Below are 24908 nucleotides of genomic sequence, written 5' to 3'. Positions count from 1 at the left end.
TGTTGAGGAAGATGAGGATGAGAGTGCCAGAAATAGAGAAATCAAAGGAGAACCAAAATTTAACAAATTAAAAGCCCACAGACTTGCTGTAATTAAGTTTTCTGTTGTAAGTACTCCACGTTTCCTGGCAGATGTGGTGAAGCAAAAGATATAATCAGAAATATAATTTATATAATCGGAAAGCATTAAACACAATAGTGCCTATACAAATAAAATGTTCCTATCACTGACTTCTAAAATGGAAATGAGGACAATGATATGGGAATCTTAATACAGTGTTGTGGATATGACTAAAAACACAGGAGTCAGATCTTCTTGGTTCAACTTCCTGCTTACTCCTTACCAGCTGTGTGTTTTTTGCAAGATTCTTCACCTCTGTGTGATTTAGCTTCCTCATCTATAAAATAATTCAGTGAATTAATGTACACAAAACATCTGGAAAACAAAAGCAAACAATATGTATTTTATAAGTGTTACTTATAGTTTTATAGTGAACTTTCTTGTGCAACATTTTTACAACTAGTGGAGAAAAATATTTCTTTAAATGAATACTTTTGATTTAAAAATCAGAGTGTAAAAATAAAACAGACTCCTTTGAAACTAGTTCTGTTAGAAGTTAATTGTGCACCTTTAATGGGCTCTGTTGCAATCCAACAGAGAAGTAGTTAAGTAAGTGGACTATGATGCCTTCTAGGGACCTCCTATAAATATGATATTGTGAAGCATGATTATAATAAGAACTAGATAACAGACAGGTGGAGACTCCACTATCTGAAGACGGTCAACCTAGATGAATGGTGTTCCATTTAGTAGTTGAGGAAGAACCCATGAGGTTTAGAAAGCAGACAAGCATGTGGCAAGTTCTGGAGTCAGTGGTAAAAATTAAAGAACCCAACTATTACTGTCACCTGATGATCTAATGGAGACTGTGGAGATGGGCTGCATTTTTTTAGTCTTTTCCAGAATGCCAAAATGTAAACACATATCTGTGTGTGTGTGTGTGTGTGTGTGTGTGTGCGTGTGTGTGAGAGAGAGAGAGAGACTGAAGTTTGTACAATTAGACATTTTATAAAATGTTTTCTGAAGGACAGTGGCTCACAATCTTAAGTTTCTAACATTGTACAATGTTGGGAGACTTTGTATACTTTATTTTCTCTTTAGCGTATTAAGGAATCTGAGATGTCCTACAGTAAAGAAATTTGCATTACATAGTTAAAATCAGGGTTATTCAAACTTTTTGATTATTGAAAACTTTCTTCATTAGTTACTAGGGTTGAATGAAACTAGTGTTCCACAGAAAACTATGGGAAATGTTGCTAGGCAGTAAGGACATGGTGATTTCAGCATGTGCAATATTTACAGCGATTGCACCCATGGACCACCCTGGCAGTAGTGAAATAACCAAAAATGCTGTCATAACTAGTATGGCTATGAGAAACACATTGGGATAAATCGGCTGCTATCATAATCATTCCTCTCCCACATCAGATAAATGAATTAACTTTTTGAATAGGGTTATTTAATATAAAGTGCTTAAGTCTAATTATGAGAAGAAATAAGATAATTACACTTCAATGGTTAAAGAGAGGGAGAATAATTTGCATATTATGCCTGATGTAAAATGTTTATTATGGGTACATATTAAGTGCTAACTAATTGTTAATTGTTCTTGCTACAAGTCTTAATGCAGGGAAACAAGAAATTATTACATAGTACCTAATATTATCTTCTAATATTAAAGAAACAATTTCCCCTAAATTCATCCCATTAGCTTTTTTTTTTTCGGTGGGGCAGGGGAGAAATACAGACTTCAGTAAACTTGGGCTGGGAACTTTCTACCTACAAAGTTCAAATAAAATAAATTATCCTAGTTAGATAATATCAATGAAAAATCCACCAACTTAAATCCTGGCTGTTTGATCTCAGGAAATTATTTCAGTTATCAACTTAATGCATCATATTATAGAAATATATGAAAATGTGTTTAATTAAACTTACTGAATGATATGTTTTTTCAGGTACTTTAAAAATAAACTATGATATAAAGTTACCTATTTTTCATGCAAGTATAGTATAAAGAAATTTCTAACACTGGAGATTTTCTGAAGGTTTTGATTCTTATAAATTTATTACATCATAATGAACAAAACTAATTTTCAACATATTATGATTTAAATTTCCTTAGTAAATTGTTTCAAATTTATTTTCTTTAAATCCATATTTACATATGTATATTTAAATATACATATTTACTTGTATAACAATTCAAAACCATATATTAATTTTATAATTTTGTTTAATGTCAAAGGTTAGATTTGGCTATATCTATTCTAAAAGTTGGTATCACATTTCCTTTTTGGAATTTTATTTTTAAAGTAGCTAAAGTCAAATATAAACCTATTATTTATATTAATGCAGACATTAGAGGTAGACACTAAATTCATTTTAGTATATTCTAAATTATTTATTATCTACTATGAAATAATATAAAGAAAAATAAAGCAGAATCCCTGATTTCAAAGAACTCAATTGCCGAAAAACAGTTACCATTTATTAGACCCAAAATGTACTAATATGAGTGTGTCTCTTTTCCTTTTGTTTTGTCACCCGTCATTTGGAATGTCAGTGAGTAGAGAGATAGTGTGAAAGGCCCTCAAGGGGAAAAATAGAGGTTAAAGGTCAGCAGAGACCCTACTAGAGAAATCAGTTCTACAGAAATGTTTTTAAATGTGTCGATTATTGCTACATGTACACTCTGTCATTTTGTAATGTAGCCATTTTATTTATGATTATAATAATAAAACAACAAAATTATAATAATGTGTAGAGTACATTTTACTGTGCAGTGTATTGCATTAAAACTAGATTAAAATTTATACATATATAAAAGGCTATCTAGATATTATAAAATTTATGGCTGGATCTGTAAAAAATTCAAAACCTATTTTTAATCTCGCTTTGAGATTTTATAACAAGAAAATGTTCGTTTCAAGCAAAATTTTCAATTCACGTCCTTGAAAAGGAAAAAAATGACAACTTGAAACACATAATTGACTATTTTTAAAGGATCAACATTTCAGAAATGTTTTAAAACATAAGATTTTCAGTACAGCTTTTCGCTGGCATTTAAATCGAACTTTGAATTGTAAATAGCTCTTGCTCTTAAGGAGACATCAGCCATATCCTTAGAAGTGGCACGGAGTTGTTAGGTAGTTGTACAAAATTCTAGCCTAAAAGACAAATAGGGAGCAACACTACTGTGGACCGTTTCTGGTCTTGGGCTGTGTGGCTATGTCAGGCTTGCCCACATTGCCTGTACTAAGGAGAAAGCCTCTTGTCCTTACAGACCCCCTTAGCTTACATAGTCTATTTGAAAACAAATTGCTTTGTCCACACCATTTAAATATTGGCTTCAGGCCAGGCGCGGTGGCTCACGCCTGTTATCCCAGCACTTTGGGAGGCTGAGGCGGGCAGATCACGAGGTCAGGAGATCGAGACCATCCTGGCTAACACGGTGAAACCCTGTCTCTACTAAAAATATAAAAAAATTAGCCGGGTGTGGTGGCGCGCACCTGTAGTCCCAGCTGCTGGGGAGGCTGAGGCAGGAGAATGGCCTGAACCCGGGAGTCGGAGTTTGCAGTGAGCCGACATCGTGCCACTGCACTCCAGCCTGGGTGACAGAGCAAGACTCCGTCTCAAAATAAATAAATAAATAAATAAATAAGTAAATATTGGCTTCTTCAACTGGTGAGATGAAACCTATACAATAGTCATGTGAATAGCACTAAACAGCTGACATGGTGTAACTCCTCTCAGACTGAGGCTTATCTGGGGAGTACAAAGCATGTCAAGAAAATGTGCCTTCATTTCCTTAGATGAGTGTCCCCATCCTCCACTCTCCTCCACTGTTCTCCTCTCTGCTTCTATGATATCAACTTTTCTTTTTCTTTAGATTCCACATGAGTGAGATCATGTGGTTGTTTGCCTTTCTGTTTCTGGCTTATTTAACTGAACAAGAAAGTTTTTGACATGAAATTAAACTTCTGCTTGTAAACTCAATTCAAACTATTTACACTGTCTTCTCAAAAATGTTAACTTATTTTAATAAATCTACTGAATGACCGTATCTCATTTTGTTTTATGAAAAGAAATTGTAAGGGTGCTCAATAGCCTCTTCATTTTCATACTGTCTAGCTCCTGTGCTCCTATTAAAATTACTGCAAATTTAGCTTTTTAAGAACCCTTTGTTTCACTACCTGAAGTTCTATAAAAAGATCCAAGTTCCTTCACAACCGTTTCTTATGCTGTTATTCGTACATATGTGATAATACCACGTCTGAACACGTAGATAATAAGTAGGGGCTGGGTGCGGTGGATCATGCCTATAATCCTAGCACTTTGGGAGGCTAAGGCGGGTGGATCACCTGAGGTTAGGAGTTCGAGACCGGCCTGGCCAACATGATGAAACCCTGTTTCTACTAAAAATACAAATAATAATAATAATAATAATTAGCCAGGTGTGGTTGTGGGCACCTGTAATCCCAGCTACTCGGGAGACTGAGGCAGGAGAATAGCTTGAACTCAGGAGGCGGAGGTTGCTGTGAGCTGAGATTGTGCCATTGCATTCCAGCCTGAACAACAAGAATGAAACTCCATCTCAAATAAATAAATAAATAGAAGTATGTATTGTGTTGCTTAGAAGGTGTGGTGGAAATTAACTTGCTGAGTGAGATCAAAGGATTGGCACTGAATTGAAATAAAGAAATATTCATGCTGAGTCTGGTTCAAATATAACTGCACCTGTAAGAATTGCTTTCTGTAAACTTTCCATAGTATAAACCAAATCCAAATCACTCATGGCTTTACATTCCTGATCGTTAAACTTGAAGCACTTTTTAATACTGCATGACTTTAGCCAAAATATCTTAGCCAAGATTCAATGTTTGGTTGAACCACACTCACTTGGACATCTTGGTGGCTTTTGTTTCTTCTGACCACTCAGTTATCTATGGCATGTGTAGATACAGGTGTATGGAAGCCGATGGCTAGTGGAAGTGGAATGATTTTAAGTCACTGTTATTCTACCACCCTTTAATCTGTTGTTGCTCTTTATTTGTACCAGTGGCTGAGAAGACCAAAGAGCAAGTGACAAATGTTGGAGGAGCAGTGGTGACGGGTGTGACAGCAGTAGCCCAGAAGACAGTGGAGGGAGCAGGGAGCATTGCAGCAGCCACTGGCTTTGTCAAAAAGGACCAGTTGGGCAAGGTATGGCTGTGTACGTTTTGTGTTACATTTATAAGCTGGTGAGATTACGGTTCATTTTCATGTGAGGCCTGGAGGCAGGAGCAAGATACTTACTGTGGGGAACGGCTACCTGACCCTCCCCTTGTGAAAAAGTGCTACCTTTATATTGGTCTTGCTTGTTTCAGGCATTAACCCAGATAAATGCCATGCAAATTTTATAATTATTATGATTGTTTCAATTTCTGGAAGAAAGTTAATGAAACAAAAAATGTAGTAAAATGCCAAAGGAACAGTGACATTTCAGAAAGAATGAGGGCTTTCATGTTAATTGTAAGTCTTGGAATTTCTCTTCCTTGGAGTAACAAATCCCTTTGTGCCTAATTTCCTAATTTCCAAAATAAAGTTCTTTTACTTATTTCTTTATAGTGACATCATCTCTTATTAAATGGCATATCTGCATATTACATAACAGTTCATTGCCAAATACATATTTGTGGGAAATGAGAGACTTAAAATACATACCAACCAGAGATATAGTTTTGAGGTAGATTTTAAAATTCTGAGAAGAATTTTGACTGAATTTTTTTGACAAACATGGGACACGAATAAGATTATACCAAAGATATTATAACTTTCATTTTAAATATGGAACTAATACAGTATGAGGTGTCAACAACGTTGAAGTTTCACAAACATCACCACTACAACAGCAAAATAATTTTTGCTTTTTCCCTGCCACAATGACCTCCTTGCTATTTCTTGAATAAATCAAGCATACCCTTGCCCTGACACGTTCTTGGGGAGGCCTGCCCTAATCTATATAAAATTGGAGCCATTCTTCTCACCTCTGGTATTCCCAGTCTCCCTACTTTTTTTCCTTCTTTCTTTCTTTTTCTTTTTCTTTCTTTCTTTCCTTCTTTCTCTCTTTCCTTTCTTTCTTTTCCCTTCCTTCCTTCCTTTCTCCCTTCCTTCCTTCCTCCCTCTCTCCCTCCCTTCCTTCCTCCCTTTCTTTCTTTCTCTTTTTTCTTTCTTGCTTCCTTCCTTCCTTCTTTCCTTTTCTTTCTTTTTCCTTTCTTTGCCAAAGTGTTATTCACCTTTAAATATAATACATAATGTGCTTACTTTAATGTATGATTTTTATTTTATTTCTCCCTTCTAGAATGTAGGCACCATGAGAGTGAAATATATTTATTTTGTTCATTGATATTTCACAAGTGTCTGGGAGAGTTTCCAACTTACAGTAGACAATTAACAAACATTTATTAAATTAAGGAGGGAAGGAAGTGAGTAAGCACAACAACTTTCATTTCTGGGTCTTTTATAATCATATGCTTAGTATAAGAACAGTGCTATTCAGCTATCCAAAAGTTACAATCAAAATGATTTTGGATGAATATCTTGAAAATTGTGAGAAAGAAGTTTTATTTGCTGGCAAACTATTCTGGGTTGTTTCCACTTCATGTAATCCTAAGTAGCAGCCTTACCTTGATAGCCCATTAAAACTCTGATAATAAAAAGGCAGAACAAAAATATCTGTGATATATTTAGATTTACTACATGTACTTACATGTCTAGTGTCTGGTGCAATGGATGCTAATGATGGCAAATCCTTACTGGGCTTCTAGTGAAGTTCTTCAGCTAATGTTTGAATGCATGGTTGGTCATGGTGGTACCCCTTTGTACAAAATATGCTTTTCAAATAATCTTATTAGGGATAATAATTATATTAATTCCTGGTTTCCATCTAAAATTTTAATTCTATTTATAGCTTCGTAAGATTTCACAAGTTAAGAGGGACCTCAGATTAAATTAGTACACAGGCAATTAATCAGTTTTGTGTCTCCGACCCTTTTCACGGGCTAATAGAAGCTATAGACCCTCTTAGCTTCAGAAAAATGCGCACTCACATACGCACATCAAAGAGCTTAATGGGAAGTCCATTGACAGACCCTCTGTTCAGATCAATCTTCTGATTGTAGAGATGAGGAAACAGAAATCTACAGAGGAAGTGGGTAGTCCAAGATTGCACAGTCATTTGGAATAGACTGGACACCAGTAGTACTTTTCCAGCCACTATATCACTTCCCCAAGCACTTCCTCAAAACTTACCTTCCTTTGGGTCTTTATACATTCAGTTATGGACAACTAGATTTAACTAGAGGATTTTATTGCTTCAGAATATTAAGCAACAGGGAAACATGTACCGTCTTTTATTCACCTGCATTTAAGGCATACAATATAAATTGCAAATGGAGCATGAAAGTGCTTAATCTTTTACAAAACTGGGTTTGCTTTCCACCCATCTAAAAATACTTCTATTTATTTTAATATTTAAAGCAGAAATCTAAGTGATGTGACAAAATTAATCATTTGGAGATATTTCCCTTATAGGTAGTATAGTTTCTTACTGATTTCTAATATGAAAATGAAGCCATAGAACCTAGAAATTGCAGCATAGTTGTGGAAATAAACATTGGACTGAGAGTGAAAATGGCTAGTCTTCCTCTCTGCTCATACACCACCTGACTGGATAACCTTTCGCAGATCTCCTAAAAGTCTTTCTCATAAAATGAGGAAGCTCTACTAGAAAATTGTTGAAGTCTAATTTAGCAATAAAGTTCTGAGTTTCTATAATAATTCAAAGAATACTCTAATAAATGTCTGCAATTGTGGTCACATCTATGGGATGCTAAAAAATCTGGATGGTTTCAATGAAAGTATTTAATTTGTTCATTATGAACTTTGAAATAATTTATTTCATTTTTTAAACTTTGATCAAAATGACCCTGGTAAATAGAAATAAGCAAACTCTTTTTGCTTGAAATGCTTATTAATGACTGCATTGAGACACTCATTCATCATTCAAGAAAGAATGTTTGCTCACACTGTGCCAGAAACTTGGAGGAAGAGGGATGTGACAAGTAGGGGTACTGGATGTCTAGCTTGTAGAAGTGGATTAATGGCTCTGCTTTTAAGATCAGGAACACTGAAAGGGAGTAATGGCACCGGTTTTCACCTTTCATGCCCTTTGAGGGTATCTGGTCCATCACCCTCTAGTTGATGAGGGAGGGAAAGTTCCCTCTCCCTTCACAAATAGGTGGAAATTAAATGACATAATTCTGAACAACCAATAAATCGAGAGTAAATCAAAGCAGATACCTGTTTTGTTAATTTGATCATATGAATGTAGCTGCCCTTAGTAATAATTTCTAAGTATAAGACTAGTTAAAGGACAAATGAGTTATCTTGAATTATAAGATTTTGTTTTACAGAACAATATTAACTCTTGTGTTTAGTACATTAGAATAATAGATCTTTTGATCCATATTTTTACTCATGTGCACATAAGAAGTTATCAGTCATACAATTCATTTCTTGAAGTTCATACCTTTCATTGGCAGAGTAGAAACAGGTTAAAAGTGCACAGGCAGAAATTTTAAGTGCAAAGCAACAGTGATGTTATATAGAGAAAATTTATATTTCCTACTTCTATTGAAGAAGAAAGATCTGCTTGTTCTAAGAATATTGTACAAAGAAAGTGACTTGAATCAGCGTTATTCTGTAATGCTACTATGCGTGCAGTGTGGAGTAGCCACTAGAACACTTGGTCTATCCCAGCTCCTCAACAGTGTCTTGCTTGTGGCTGGTGCTCAAATAAATCCTTGCTGAACTAATGAGCATCTCTTTCATGCCACATGGAATGCTCTAAAAGAGTTGGATCCTGAAGTTTTTATATTTTTGTAATTTTCTGGAGTTTTAGAGAGCAAAAGTCCTGAATAAACTGTGAAGCCACTGCCTGACAAATAATACAGCAGTCAGCTTCGTTATCATATCCCATTGAGACACGACTTATCTACATGATGATTAATAGTTTTCACGCAAGAAATAAGCTTGAAATGTCTGTTGCCTTGGATACTTAAAACATCCAGGTTCAGCGATGTTATTTATTGTTGTTCAAAATCAGAATGAAGTTCCTAAGCAATGCCATTTTGGAAAAATTACATCAATATATTATGAACAACTTTTTTTAAATCTTGATTTCAAATGGATTGACACGTGTATATTCTGTAATAATCCTGACTTAATTCATAAAAGGATAGCTAGCCAGTTGTGTGCTAGATGAATAAAAAAAAAGCAGGTTTTAAAATGTCAGGTTTGACATTGTGAATATAATATCTAAGTATCCTTTTACTCATTTCCTTTGACTTACTATGGCTGTCATGTTGGGCTTCATGAAAATTTATTTTTAAACACTTGAGTGTTATGGACCCTCTGATTAAATGATTAATCAGATGATGTATGTTGCCATCAGCTGAATCATTTAATGTTGATTTCACAAACAAGCACAGGTCACAGGCAACATTTCAGATTTCTTTGAAGAAGCACACACAGGTCACAGGCATAATCTTAAAATAATTTTATAACAAGGTAGTAATAAGAGATGTCAGGACTGGAGAAATATTTTAATTTATAGTAAGCTTTCCCCTTAAGTGTCTAATAATTGTTAATATAATACATTGCCTCAAATAATTAAAAGTTTGGTTCTTGTCCTTGTGCTTGACTTCAGAAGATAACCAGATGACTATTAGGTATATTTAGACCTAAATTAAAAGCTTTGAGACACAATGAATTGCCTGATTTGTATTTGTGTTTCGAGTGGCATATACTATTACTGGCACTATAATCTTAGATTAAAGCATACTGTGATTATTAAAGAAAAATTTAAGATTGATTTGTTTCTAAAGGTATGTAACAGTGACATTTTGCAATGTGGTATGTAAAAGTTGGTATTTCTCACTCATATGAGAGCCCACTAATGGTACATAAACTGTCCCCACTTAGAAACACAATTATTATGGCCTTTCTTTGTATCTGACAAAATTTCACTGGGTTCAAGATGGATGAATAGTGAATTCTAATGACCCTTAATCCTGTAAGGTTCTAGGTGGGAAAGTACTCTGTAATTATGTATAAAATTATAAGGAAAATAGGCTTACTGCTATGTTTTCATTAAAAATCATTAACTGAGTACTTAATATGTGCCAGACACTCAGCTGGGCACCATGAGAAATACAAAACTGAGTAACATATGGGTGGCTCCTGCCTTCAAGAAATGGGCAGTTCAGGCCGGGAGACTGACATATTTACCCTGGGAAAAAGGGAGCAGCTGTGGTCTCTGAGAACAATATGGTTTGTTACAAGTATATATCCATCATGGAAAAAAAGAGATTTATCTTAGAAATGAGAGAGGCTGATGCTCTCAATAAATATCATACATTAAATTGTGTTTTTGTCAGTAGACTGAAATTACCTCACATACACGCACAGATAGTAGCCATGATATTTTAGCTGCTTAGATATAGAGACAAATACTTCCACCCAAATCTTAGGATCAGTGGTTAATAGTCTGTAAGCATTACAATCCCACAACATATGCATGACTATACATCCAATTTTAATATTCAAAGAACTGATTGCGATGATAGTTTTGTTTGTCAAAGAAATGTATTATAGGATGAGTGGGATAGAACTGCATCACGTTACACCAACAAATAGGTTTAAATCATATTTGTGCACTTCCCTTGTTCCTTCATAAATGTTTAACATAGCTTAAAATTCTGTGGACTGCAACGTGAGAGCAATGACCACACTTCTGTGAACCCATTTTTACTGTGCATGTGCTAACGTCTATTGTTAGTATTCCTTCACTTGCAAAGATGGCATGATAATTTTGCTGGTTTCATTAATGAGATACTGTTAAATGTAGGATGACTTCAAACTTAGTTGTATTGTAAAATTATTTTTAATTGTATACATTTAAGTTGTACAGCATGATGTTTTGAGATACTTATCTTTATTTATATATATATATAATATACACACGTATATAAAAGTGATTCCTACATTGAAGCAAATTAACATACCCATCATCATATGGTTATCTTTGCTTTTTTACTATCAGTGCCTAAAATCTACTTTCTTGAAAAATTACCAGTATGCACTACAATATTATTAACAATAATCTTCATGTTGTACATTAGATCTTTAGACTTACTCATCTTACATGACTTAGGTTTGTTTTTACCTCTACTACCATCTGAGCCATATTTCCACTTTGTAATTTGATAATAAACTTGGAAAAATAGCACTTATATGTTTAGGTGACGGGCATAAATAGGATAAGATGTGTTTATATATTATTCCATATATCTTGTCTCCAACTACAATGATAAACAACCTGTTTGTCCCTAAAAAGTAAGAAATAACTTGACTTTTCTGCCCCTTCAAGCATAGGCTGTTAGCTTTTAAGTTTTAGGGAGACATTGATGATGCTATTTGCTTTATCAAGAGGAAATTGTCAAAAGAGGTCTTTTGGTTCTCAAACTATTCAAAGTATTTAAAAATCAGGACAAAATATGTTTACGTGATATTCAAGGGTACAGAAATGAGGTAAATGAGATGCCAATTGTATTTGTCATGCAAATATATAATTACGTGTATGAGAGTTAGATGATACATCTCATCAATTTAATTGTTCTTCTACAAGGAGAAAATGAACAATTTGTCAACTCGTATATGAAGTAATTTTTATAAGAAATTTTATTAAAACTTTTAACAACATTTGGATTTTTAAGTTGCAATTTAAATATCCCCTTCTACCAGGTGATTCTGGAATCACTAAGCAGTTACTTGTGAAAATTCCAAAGTAGCATTTAATTCTTATTAATGTCATAGTGAATACTAATGCAAAGAATACTGAGCCAGAAATTATGCTTGTTGAATAAATAGATTATTTATTGAACAAGTAAGTGAAAAAATGGAAATAAAGAACGGATATATATTTTATCTTCCTGCTTAGATGTGGGACTGTCCTACTTTTCTCTGGTGTTCACAACAACAATATGATAAATCTAATTGGAATTCAGTTCATAGGAATGAATTCAGTTACATTATGGATTGTGATGAATAATGTACACTTTTAATTTAATGAAATCAAATAGATTTTAACTATCTATGCTTACAATGGGGTGACATAAGTCTGACAATCCTTAATATCAAGTCATCTCCAATTCACATGTATACACACTTTTTTTCTATTTGGCTATTGGGAATCCTCACAAAAATCGAAAATTGCCCTTTCAGTGTACGTTACGGTATTTCATGCCACACAGATTTTCTGAGGTTGTACATACAGCTTTGCCTTGAGGTTCCAATTTTTGCTCAGTGGATTGAGTATATATTATTTGCTATATATCAGAAGAGGCATGTGCTTCCTACTTATGTCAGGTAACTTTGGGATTAATATAATTGTCCTACAAAGCATAGATAGATAGAAATACTTCATCCTTAATTTCTAATATTATGACATATCTAAAGTAGGCACCTTTAAAAGTTAATCTCCACTAAATACTAATGACTGCTTATAGTGGCAATTCATCTTTCATGGTAGTCCTCCTACAAAGGTATACTAACATTTATGAGTTTGAAACAAAGGCAATTCACAAGTGTTCTGCTAGAGATGGTCTATATCTGCTGTTTGATCCAGCATGATGGCCAGCTGGCCCTCCTGTGCATGACGGCTCGTGGTTTAACTGCACCATTTTGTTTGGTCATATACAGGGAAAACATGGCATGGTGTGGAGGGCATGGGCTTGAATTCAGGGAACAGAGAGTTGGTCTTCTCTCTCTCACTCTACTGGATGATGTCATCTCCCCTCTCTAAGCATGAGTTTTCTTATCTGTGAAATAAAAATGTTGAATTAAATGAGTTCAAAATGCTTTCAGTCTGTGTTTAATAGCTTGAATCTTAAGACAATGTATTCAATTATGCGTTGCCAGATCCCTGGCAACTCATGTAACCTTTCTAAACCATAGCTACTCATCTGTAACTGGCCAGCCAACTGCCCAGGGTTGGAGTGTGAATGAAATAAGATAATGCAGACAAAAGATTTTTAAAAATTGTAGTGCATTATACAGTTGTAATATTTTGCCAAGAACTTACATTTTCTCTAAGAAGTGTGTCGATACATGATCACAGAAAATCTTTTCCATATTCCTTTGTAGTTTGATGATATTAAGTAAGTAAATTGTATAACACAAAGAGGGAAAAGCATCACTGAACATGCCGTTTTATTTAGCTAAATAAAATGTAATCACTATTAGTTTTCCTCTGATTTCCCCAAAGTCATGTGATTCCATTGAGTATTATGCACATGGTATAATTAGAATGGATTCTCTGCTCAAATAATTTTGGGAAACATTTAAATTAACAAAGTTTAAAAGTATCTCTGTTAAGCTGAAGCAAATCTCAAAGGCCTTAATATTGTATGTAAGAGGAATAGTTACCATCTTTCCTAATGCCTCTTTGACGCCAAACCCATGGAGAATAGTTCTAGGTGTTCAGTAAAACACAGATTTGGGATGCCACAGGTTAATTGGAACTGTCCCCTGCAATCCTTTTCTCTTTTTCTTAATAATGGCTGATTGCAGGTCCTAGATGAAAGACATTTAGAGAGATTATCAGGACTCAGCATCCCATATCAGAATCCATTCTTTTATAGTCATTTTCTGTTACATTTCTTGGGACAACACCAAAGAAATGACCATCTTCATTCACATAGGCTTTGTACCAAATGCTGACAAAGATCCTTGGTGACCTAGATGGGGGCAGGTCTAAGTAGATTGCAGCTGTAAAATTGGCTGATGAATGATCTCAGCCCCTTTTACTCACACTCAAAGGCAGGACAGTCCATTAAGGGGAAGGAGGGCAGAGTTTTTCCTTAGGCCAATTCCCTATGCCAGAACTTTTTAGAATGGAAGCATTTCCAGAGGAGAAACAACCCCAAGCACAGTTCAAAGCCCCCTCCTCCCAAGTTCATTTGAAAGTGGGATGGTTTATCTGCAAAGGGGGAAAAGATGAGGGATAGGGACGGGAATATCCCTACCCTTCAGAGAGTCTGGTTTCATCCTGCACTTTTACTGCACAGCCACAAATGCCTTGGGGTGAATCTACAATATGATACATCATATGGTCTAAACGTGCCTGGCTGATCCTCTCTAATACTTCAGGGGTCTAAAAGGGATAACATGCTCTCCTGTTACTCACCGACTCTGTCCGCCATATTTCACCCAGCCAGCCACTGCCTTCACTTCCGTCCGAGGCCTAATCTGAGCCCATGGGAAACCTAAGAACCCCTACCACAACTGCCTCAACTCTTGGGAATCAGGGTGTATGGGGGTGACAGGAAGTGAGCATACATTCTCCAACTTGATATGTCAGCCCCCACGTCTGTATGAATGTTTGCTCACACTGTGACTGCCGGCCTTGCTCCTCAGGCTGCATCCTACCAGGGAGTAAGACCCAAGTCCTTCCTGCTTTCAGACAACACCAAGCCTCATGAGTCCCCACTCAGAGGAAGGACCAGAGACAAACTCTAATGTTCCACTAATACTTCCCTTCTTATTACTTTCCTTGAAAATCCCTTCTCCCTCTTTCTTTTTATACTTCGCTAATGAAAGGTAATGAAAGGGTCTGGCACTTGGAATTTAGAATTGATACATGGTTTTTAACCCGCGGACGTATTCCACAATAACCCTTGCATCTTCTACTAAGATGTGGGCTAGGAAGGGACCAGCCAGTTCCCAGGGTCACAGTGCCTCAGCTGATGTTTCATATTTTCAGCAACTTTATGTTAGAGATGTCCATCAATCAGAACAATATGGTTAGAGAATAAACTAATAAAAGTCATTTTTGAGGACATGTTGGAAGTCTATCAAAAGCATTGAAATTATGCATGCTCTGACCAGTCGCATGTCTAAGAATTTAAATATGATCATAAGTTTAAATATGAAGATGTTTATCACAGAATTGATTATAAAACAAAATTGAAAAAAATAGTGCTAGAAGTTTGATCATAGGGACCTCATTAAATGCATTATGGTTGATCCATGCAGTGGTTTGCTGAACAGCCATTAAAATGTTGTAGAATAATTATTAATGGTGTGGAAGGATGCTATTGTTGCAGTATGTGAAAAGAACAAATTACAAAGCAGTTTGTGCAGCATAATATTTTTATTTTTTAAAAACCTGTATGTGGCTTATGTACATATAAAGACGTGGAATAAATGCACAAGGTACTCAGTTTTTCTCAGTGAAGCCCATTTTGCATTTTGGGCTGGGTAATTCTTCGCTGTGGAGAACTCTCATTCATTGTAGGATGTTTACAAGCCCTGGGCCTTACCTCTTTAACGCCAGTAGGCACCCCCAGCATGGCAACAAGCACAAAATGGTCTCTCTCATATTGCCCTTGAGGAAATTTTGCAACTAAGTAACTATTACTGGGTCCTAGATTACAGTCTGGATTATTGCGTTCCTTTCTTATTTTTATTTTCTCCAATTCCCTTTAATAAGCATGTACTGGATTCATAAAAAAACAACATAAATGGTAATTACAATATTCCGCACTGGTTAAAACTTATGTAAATAAGCATTCTGCTGCTTTAGCCACAATTGCAATTTATGCTCCTTCTCTTTCTTAAGTTCCCAGTTCCCACGTACATTCATTCGACTGATTCAAAAGTCATTTTAGCTTGATAGACTCTTAAAAGTTAGAGTTATCATTTCTGCTATTTATTCTTTCAATTATCCATTTGTCCACCCATCCATCTGATCCATTTTGTTGATGCATGCTGTGTATAAAATACTACACCAGCCTGGTGCGGTGGCTCACGCCTGTAATTCCAGGACTTTGGGAGGCCAAGGCGGGTGGATCACCTGAAGTCAGGTGTTTGAGACCAGCCTGGCCAACGTGGAAAAACCCTGTCTCTACTAAAAATACAAAAATTAGCCAGGCATGGTGGCAGACGACTCTAATCCCAGCTACTTAGGAGGCTGAACCAGGAGAATCGCTCGAACCCAGGAGATGGAGTTTGCAGTGAGCTGAGATCATGCCAATACACTCCAGCCTGGGTGACAGAGCAAGACTCCGTCTCAAAAACAAACAAAAAAAATACAATGCCAAGCATCATAAAAAATATAGTGATATATAAGACCTATTTGTTGTGCTCTAGGCATTGACATCTAGCTGTCAACCATTAATATGTGTAGGAGTCTATCTATCAATATTATGGACTGTGCTTGAAGACTTCTTCCCCAATCTTTTTCTCTTCCCATTAAGTTTGAAGTGAGGTTTTCTGAGTGAAGTATCATAGTACATACAGTCTCATTATTTTTCAAAAATCTCTGGTTATAGTACATTTCTTTCCTTTATCCCCTTTGTTCCCAACTATCAAACCATTTTGGATATCCAGTATTGGTATCCAGTATTATTAAAAAGCAAAACAGAGAACTATTAACAAAAAAATTTGTAGGAGTAATTGGTTGTATGGTATCCAGTACTATTAGATAGTAAATCAGAAAATTATTAACAAAAATTTTAGACGAATAATGGATTGTCTTGCCCAAGTGAATTGAGTGATTTAGTTGTTCTTTCATTTTTAGCAAGTACAGCTGATCATTTGAGGCCTTACTCATTGTTTGATTTTGCAAATTCTTACTATTATAAATGTTTTGGGCTCTGAGAAAGCTGTTGTCTTAATCTGTTTGTGCTGTTATAACAAAATACATGAGACTGGGTAATTTACAAACAACAGAAATTTATTTCTCATAGCTCTGGAGGCTGGGAACTCCAAGATCAAGGCATTTGTCTTCAGGTTCAGTATCTGGCGAGGGCCGGTTCTCTACTCCCAAGATGGTGTCTTGTCACTGTATCCTCCAGAGGGCCAAATGCTGTGTTCTCACATGGTAGAGAGATAGAAAGGGCCAACTCACTCCCTCAAGGCCTTTCATAATGTTACCAATTCCACTTGTCAGGGCTCTGCCCCCGTGACTTTATTACCTCTGCAAGGCCCCACCACTTAATACTATCACGTTGGTTATTACGATTTATCACATGAATTTCGACCATACTAGTTGCCATCCTTTCATTTTCATATATCCTTAAAACTTTGCCTTTCTCATTTTAATGTACTTTATCCACAGTATGCCAACTTTTCGATACTTTTGTTAACCTGTCTGACGATATATAGGAAACTGTAAAAGTGCAGTTTTTGATACACTCTTTAGCTGCCCGTTTACTTCTACTGTCGTTAGAGAACCCCATCCATAGTGCATGTGTTTATTTTGTGTATGAACAAAGACTTTATATATAGTTTGGGTCATTTTTATTCATTAGTGCTTCCCTTATAATCTCTGAATACCATTTTATTAGTACATACTGCTATTCTTAATAGTAACTAGCATGCCTGATCATCCCAAATGTCTAGGTTCACATTTTAAAATAAGTTATATCTTTGGGCTTAACAGTTTATTGAAAGGTAACAAGGATTGAGTCATAGTTGTATGTTTTTGGAAGTAGAATTCAACTGTAAATAGAAATTGGTTGTTTAGATCTCACTATATATGAAAAAATGAAGGCTTTAGGAGAAAATCTCCCCAAAGTACCCATTTTTCATGTGATAAATATCATGAAATGATTTGAGAAAAAAATGTATATTTGTTACAGCTAACAAATATTTGTGTTTTTTATTCTTCATGGAGAGAATGAAATTTCTTCTCTTCTTTACACATTTCTTTTTCTTATTAGAAACTAATTGGTGCCTTTATAAAAATTAACTGCAGAGCACTAACGTGTATATATAAGTATTATGTAGGGTGTAGGGTATGTTCAGGGTATGGTGTGTGTGTGTGTGTGTGTGTGTGTGTGTGTGTGTAGCTGTGTGTGTATATAATGAAATATATGGTAGTGTTGTTTCAGAAATCTGCTTGGTCTTCCCAGAGTTCATTCATCTTATAAATTCATCTACATTGATCTCTATTTTTGGAATCCATGAAATGTTTTTTGGCAGTACTTCCTTTAATATAGTGTGCTGGAAATCTGGAAATTTCTAGCCAGATTAGTTACAAAAAATTAGCCAGTGGTTTTGCACTCTCTATAGAATCAAGGCCCAAGGCCTACTCTTGTTACTCAGGGCCTTGTTTTATCTGGCCTCTTTCTTTTCAGCCATATAGCTCTCAAATACTCAACAAAATTCTTCATTCTAGGTAGACAAGTATCTTCAAAATACTTCCCAATTATCTAATAACTGTCTTACCACTAAGAAGGCTTTTATGTCTCCTGTCTGAATTTTATCCATGCAAAAAAGTCCAGCCCAAGCCTCCAGAACTCCAAAAAGTTATCCCTAACTGCTGAAACACAGTAATTTCACTATGTGAAATTTCACTTTGGTCTCCTAGCATTTGCAGATATACCATACATATCCTTGATCCTTTTCCTTTCATACCTTTTATATCTAACCCTTAAGCTAATAATTTTACCTACACTGTAATTCAAAATGTATCCCCAGTCTTACCATGTCTCCCTTCTCTACTGTTACCACCCTAGGCTAGGCCTTCATCATTTCTCACCTGGACTCCTTCCCTAACCTCTGAACTGATCTGCCTGCTTCCACTTAGACACCCAACCTAGTCCATTCTTGAGCAGTCGGAATAATTCTTTTAAGAAAGAAACCAGATCACATCCCCCTCTGCTCCCAACCATCCAGTGACCTCTTATCATACATAGAATGAAATGCAAATCTTTACTGTGTTTTAAAGGCCCTACATTATCTGGACCTCAGTAACTTCTTACTTCCTATCCCTTTTCTCCTTGTATGCCACCCTCCAACTACACTCTAACTACACTGTCTTTTTCCCTGTTCTTCAGACCTGCCAACCATATTTTCACTGCTCAATTAATATGTAGAAAATGAATTGTTTGTTAAATGTAGACTGTTTCCTTCTTAAAGCAAAGATAAATGACATTGTCTTCAAAAACAACTAACTGCCCAGAATTCCTGATTTTAATTTTAAAAAGACAAACTGCAAGAATGTGTTAAACAGTAAGGAAACAATTCACTACTTCAGAATTCTATATGATTTCACTGCACGTTAGTAATTTTGTATATTATAGAATATGAGGGTATTCTAATAAACTTAACTCTATGCTGTATACTTATCATGATAGCTCATTTTCTTATATGTTTATAACAGCACTACTTATTGTACATGGATACGTGGGAAATAAATTAATTTTCTCCTTAAGAACAAAGCAACCATTTCACTCATGAGATAAATCTTGAAGATTTAAAAACTACTTATAATTAATTATACATTATTCATATAATGTTAAGTATTTTCTTAGTAAACCACATAATTTAGAATGGCAATTGGACAGATGGGCAGAACCACATGCATCCACTATTAGGCAGTTGGTGAGCATAAGATGCCAGAAAGAAGATTAGGAATATCAAGGCAGGGAGCTTCCGATCGCTCTTGAAAACATTGACCCTTCACTCCTCACTCTCCACGATGCATTTCCTTTGAAAAGTAATGCCTTCCAAAACAAAGTTCTCTGTTTTATATCTAAACTTACTCAATAGTTTCTCATGGTTATTGATATATAAAAAATAAAGTAAAATGTTTAGGCAGACCAAAAGAAGAATTTCCCCCTCCCTCTGCCTTTTATGCCAAGGTGACAGCTATGAAATGTACAGTACGTTTCCTCTGCAAGGAATGTAGCAGTGTTCCATTGCAAGAAGATGAGAGGGAGAGAAAGGTTGCACGCTGAGGAATATAGTGTCATTTGTCACTGCCTAGACTCATCAGCTGTGTGGAACTCTGAGAGGCACCAGGCTTCTTTATTTATTTCTTCAGAAACTTCAGCAAAAAAGATTTCATTAGGAGCAGAGAAAAATGTGAAAAACGAATTAGCTTTTGTGATGGGGAGTAGTCATCTCTGAATATTGATCAAGATTAAGAGGGTTGTCTTCGTAACTTCTTTTATCCATAGTCTATACTGATTTAACTAGAAAACTAATTTCAGGTGGTATTTCGGGTGTGGCAGATCTTTATAGTAAATGAAGAATCTAGTCAAATCTACTGAAAAACTCTGCTTACTTTAATGTTTGATCTGGTTGAAACCATTTTAGCTTAACAATCCTTCCTCTGAAACAGGGAATCAATTGATATCCTACAGCAAAATTATGTGGAAGGGCCATTAGCTTCACATCCAATGCAAATTTTGCCTGTGTTTACTCTTCCCCAATCCAAAATATATCAGATCCTAGATGCCAGTGAAATCGTTTGAGCTAGATGGCTTGAGGGTCATAGCTTTTTTCATTTCCTGTTCTCAGACCTCTTATAATTGATAGAATAAAATCAGAAGAGCCCTAGAGCTGTCCCACCTATTCTGCCTCACAAAAGTAGAAGTAATGGCAACCACTATCATAGGGATCATGCTCACCTTTTTCTTACCAGACAAATTTGGATATTAGCTTGAAATTAATACCTTCCTTAAAATGTTGGAATTTGGTTATATGCGAAATTTTGCTCTATTTATTCATTATATTTTGTATGGAATTATTTTTGCCCTATATTTTCACTTAAGTGTTCTCTACCCAAGATTTTAATTGAACCCAAATCAGCCAGACACACAGACATGGATTTTGCTGCCACCAAGGTTAATTCTTCTTTTAAAGTTAACTTTTAAAATTTGGTAAAATATAGCTTTGAAAATTTGCATTCGTCTAGTGTTTGTTATGTATTTCCCCCTTTTGTTTGATTATATGTCTATATTTTTCTTGTAGAAATTGATTTTTAACCTGCTTTTTATGTTAGCTTTTATGAGCTTCTGTCTGAATTCTGAATATGTCTTTCTTAATGTCTTCTAAATGTTTCTTTCTGGATTATTAAAAGATTTATTAGGCTTTTAATAATTATATTTGTTACCTTAGGGAATGTGTTTGAAAATATTTTAAATGGAATTGCCAGTTAACACAGCATTGAACTTTTTCTTGTTAGAGATACATTGTTTTCTAGGCATTTTATTGGGAGAGAAGTTAGTATGATATAATGTCTTTGGCTGATATTAACTCTTCTAAGATGCATTGTTTCTGAGAACACCATTGTCTGATTTCATTCAGGGAAATTTCACACAAGCCAGTAGAGTCAATACTTTTTTCAAGACCTGTTAATTGATATATATAAAAACTTGCCATTGTTTACATGCCCATTTCAGATCCTTTATGTGACCTAAGCTAGAAATGCATTTTAACAGCATTTGTTTTTCCAAAAATATTTATTTATTTATTTATTATAGAGATAGCGTCTCTCTATGTTGCCCAGGCTGGCCTCGAACTCCTGGGCTCAAGCAATTCTCCTGCCTCGGCCTCCCAACAGTGCTGGGATACAGGTGTGAGCCATTGTGCCAGGCCCTTGTTTTTATTTTTTTTGAACATTGTATTTTGAAAGGGGTTTGAAGGTGATCCCTAGATAGCAACCAGTAATGATTCGAGCAGCAAAACAATCTAAAAAGTAATTTTATAAGAAAATGCAGAACATAAATGAGCCCATAAAAAATTATATTAGGTTCTATTTACATTACTACCTTCTTTCACATGTAATATTTCACTAACATTTAATGAATTTCTGTGCAGTGCCATATACCATTATGAATTCTAGGATAGAAGAATGAGTGAGAAATGTTCTTAGGCCTTAGGAAGAAGGAACAAGCATCTCTGTGTAATAGTTATTTCAACTCTTCTTTTACACCTCATTCCCATATTAAATCTCAGAAAAGCTAAAGTAATAGCTATCCCAGATCTATTTTAGACTCCAGACACTTACTTCAATGTCTTGTTCTCCTTATCAGACTGGAATCATTCCAAACCTCTTAACTTCTGGGCAACCATGATAATGCGACAGAAAGGACACTAAATCTGTCGCAAATTTATCTTGATATTCTATCCAGTCTTACTTGGTACTGAAGGTCACAAGTAAAATAAGGTGGTTGTTTTTTGTTTGTTTTTTTTTTTTTGACAGAAGAGAAAAGAACACTGTGAGCACAGAGTGAATGTCTAACATTGATTCTTGAGTAGCAGGAATTCTCTATGCGAGAGGATCTCTATGCAAAAAGATCTCATATTCTAGCACAATTTAAGGATCTCTATGCAAAGATATCCCATATTTTAGCATTATCAATAAGCTATGGGGTAATATATTGTATGTGGTGTGGCTTGAATTCTAGAAATTTGATTTCTAGAAATGGTCCCTGTAGTTAAGGATATATAATGTGGCCGTCTCCAGTTTTCTATGAGGAATAGGAAAATACTATCATTATTAGCTGTGTGACCATGGACAACTTGCTTCGTTCTTCAGTTGCATCATCTGTATAAAATAAGAATAAGAAAATTTACATCTGCAAGGTGTGATGGAGATCACATGGGATAATTGTGGTCCCAGAGCCTGGCACAAAAGGGCTTAATATTTATAATCCTCCCCATTTCTCCGTATACTCTAAAGGAAGTTTATTGCTTATCAAATTGTGCCGTGGTTAGTTGTACAGCTTCCCTGCCAAATTGTAAACTCCAACACTAATGTGACGTTACATTTTATATAGTGCTATGATTTTCAAATTGTTTGCATAATTTCAAATACACAGTAAATTGCTTTTTATTAGTATAATTATTGCTATTGTCAATATTATTATTACAACAGCTTCACAGTAAGATGGGCAGAAAAAAATTTAATTTCCATTTTACAAATGCACTTTTGAGGCTCACAGAAGTCAAATAGACCAAAGTCACAGGGCTAGTGAGGGACCCAGAAGAAACAAATTGTAATTCACTGATTCCAAGTTCAGTGGTTGCCTTACTGCATCATAAAGGCTATTACACAATCCAGGTGTATCATATGATTCTTGTCTATATATTCATACATATCAGAAAAAGTGTTCTACTCAAAATTGCTAGCAATCAACAGATACTGATAGTCATTAGTACTTAAATCTTTATCAAATGAAATATTAATACCCATGAAAGAGAGGACAATGAAAGGTTTGTATCATTTGTATGTCACAAGTCAACTTTTTTCAATCACTCATTATTAGTTTAACTGTAAAAAATTATTTACATTTAGCGTGAAACTTTCCTGTATTCTCAACATATTTCCTTCGGTAGAAAAGCAAACCTCCAGTTCTCTGTTCTTTGCTTGGATACTTGCCAGTTTGTAACTCAGCTATCAAACAGTAAAGCTCACAAAACACTTATTAAAATGACTAAAATCCAAAACACCAAGAGCACAGCATGCTGGTGAGATGTGGAGCAACAAGAACTTTCATTCATTCACTAATGCTGGCAATACAAAATGGTACAGTAACTTTGGAAGATAGGTTGACAATTTCTTACGAAGCTAAACTATACTTAACATATATATTTGTCCATTTTCACAGTGCTAAAAAGAAGTTCCCGAGACTGGGAAATTTATAAAGGAAAGAGGTTTATTTAATTGACTCACAGCTCAGCATGGCTGAGGAGGCCTCAGAAAGCTTATAATCATGGTGGAAGGAGAAGGGGAAGCAAGGCACCTACTTCACAAGGTGACAGGAAGGAGAATGAATGCAGGAGGAACTACCAAACACATAAAACCATTAGCTCTCGTGAGAACTCACTCGCTATCATGAGAACAGCATGGGGGAAACAGCTCTCATGATCTAGTTACCTCCACCTGGTCTCTCCCTTGACATGTGGGGATTATGGGGATTATAATTCAAGATGAGATTTGGGTGGGGACACAAAGCCTAACCATATCACCATATGATCCAAAATCATGCTACATGATATTCACCCAAAGGAAATGTAAACTGTGTCCACACCAAAACCTGCACATGCACGTTTATAGCAGCTTTATTCATAATTGCCAAAACTTGGAAGCAACCAAGATGTTCCTCAATAGGTGAATGAACAAAAAGACTGGCACATGTACTCAATGGAATATTATTCAGTGATAAAAAGAAATGAGCTATCAAGCCACAAAAACACATGGAGAAAACTTAGGTACGTAAGCCAGTTTGAAAGGTTGCATTCTATATGATTCCAATATATGACATTCTGAAAGAGACAAAATTCTGGAGACAGTAAAAAGATCAGTGATTGCCTGGGGCTCTGAGAAAGTGCAGAGGGATGAATGGGTGAAGCACATGGCATGTTTAGGACAGTGAAACTATTCTCTATGATACTGTCATGGTGGATACATGACCTTATACCTTTGTTAAAACTCAGAATTTTACAATACAGAGTGAATTCTAATATAAACTATGGACTTTAGTTGTAATAAGGTATCAATGTTATTTCATAAGTTTTAATAATGTACCACACTAATGCAAAATTATAATAATAGGGGAATTGGGGGAAGGGTAATGGAGTATATGGGAATGCACTGTAATCTCAGTACAATTATTCCACAAACCTAAAACTTCTTTCAAAAATACAAGCTATTGGTCAGGTGTGATGGCTTATACCAGTAATCTCAGCACTTTGGGAAGTCAAGACCCTCAGATCACTTGAGGCCAGGAGTTCGAGACCAGCCTGGCCAACATGGTGAAATCCTGTCTCTACTAAAAATACAAAAAAAAAAAAAGAAAGAAAGAAAAGAAAGAAAGAACAGAAGAAATAAAAGAAAGAAAGGAAAGAAAGAAAGAAGAAAAGAAAGAAAGAGAAAGAGAGAAAGAAAGAAGGAAAGAAAGAAACAGAAAGAGAGAAAGAAAGAAAGAAAAAGAAAGAAAGAAAGA

General features: G+C 35.4%; 1 protein-coding gene across 17 annotated transcripts in view; it reads left to right on the top strand.

The window, feature by feature from the left end:
• Nucleotides 1-24908, top strand: part of SNCA (synuclein alpha) — a 114206-nt gene that overhangs the window by 10794 nt on the left and 78504 nt on the right. For all 17 annotated transcript variants that reach the window (NR_164674.1, NR_164675.1, NR_164676.1 and 14 more), the window contains one exon: nt 5123-5265. Coding sequence is in view for 14 of the 17 variants with exons in the window: in NM_001146055.2 (NP_001139527.1) it covers nt 5123-5265 (143 nt within the window). In the remaining 3 variants the exon portion in view is untranslated. The remainder of the gene's footprint in view (nt 1-5122; nt 5266-24908) is intronic.

This window comes from Homo sapiens, chromosome 4, assembly GCF_000001405.40.
Source record: "Homo sapiens chromosome 4, GRCh38.p14 Primary Assembly".
Lineage (NCBI taxonomy): Eukaryota > Metazoa > Chordata > Mammalia > Primates > Hominidae > Homo > Homo sapiens.
Note: the sequence above shows the minus strand (reverse complement) of the source record. Positions and strands in the feature narration are given on the sequence as shown.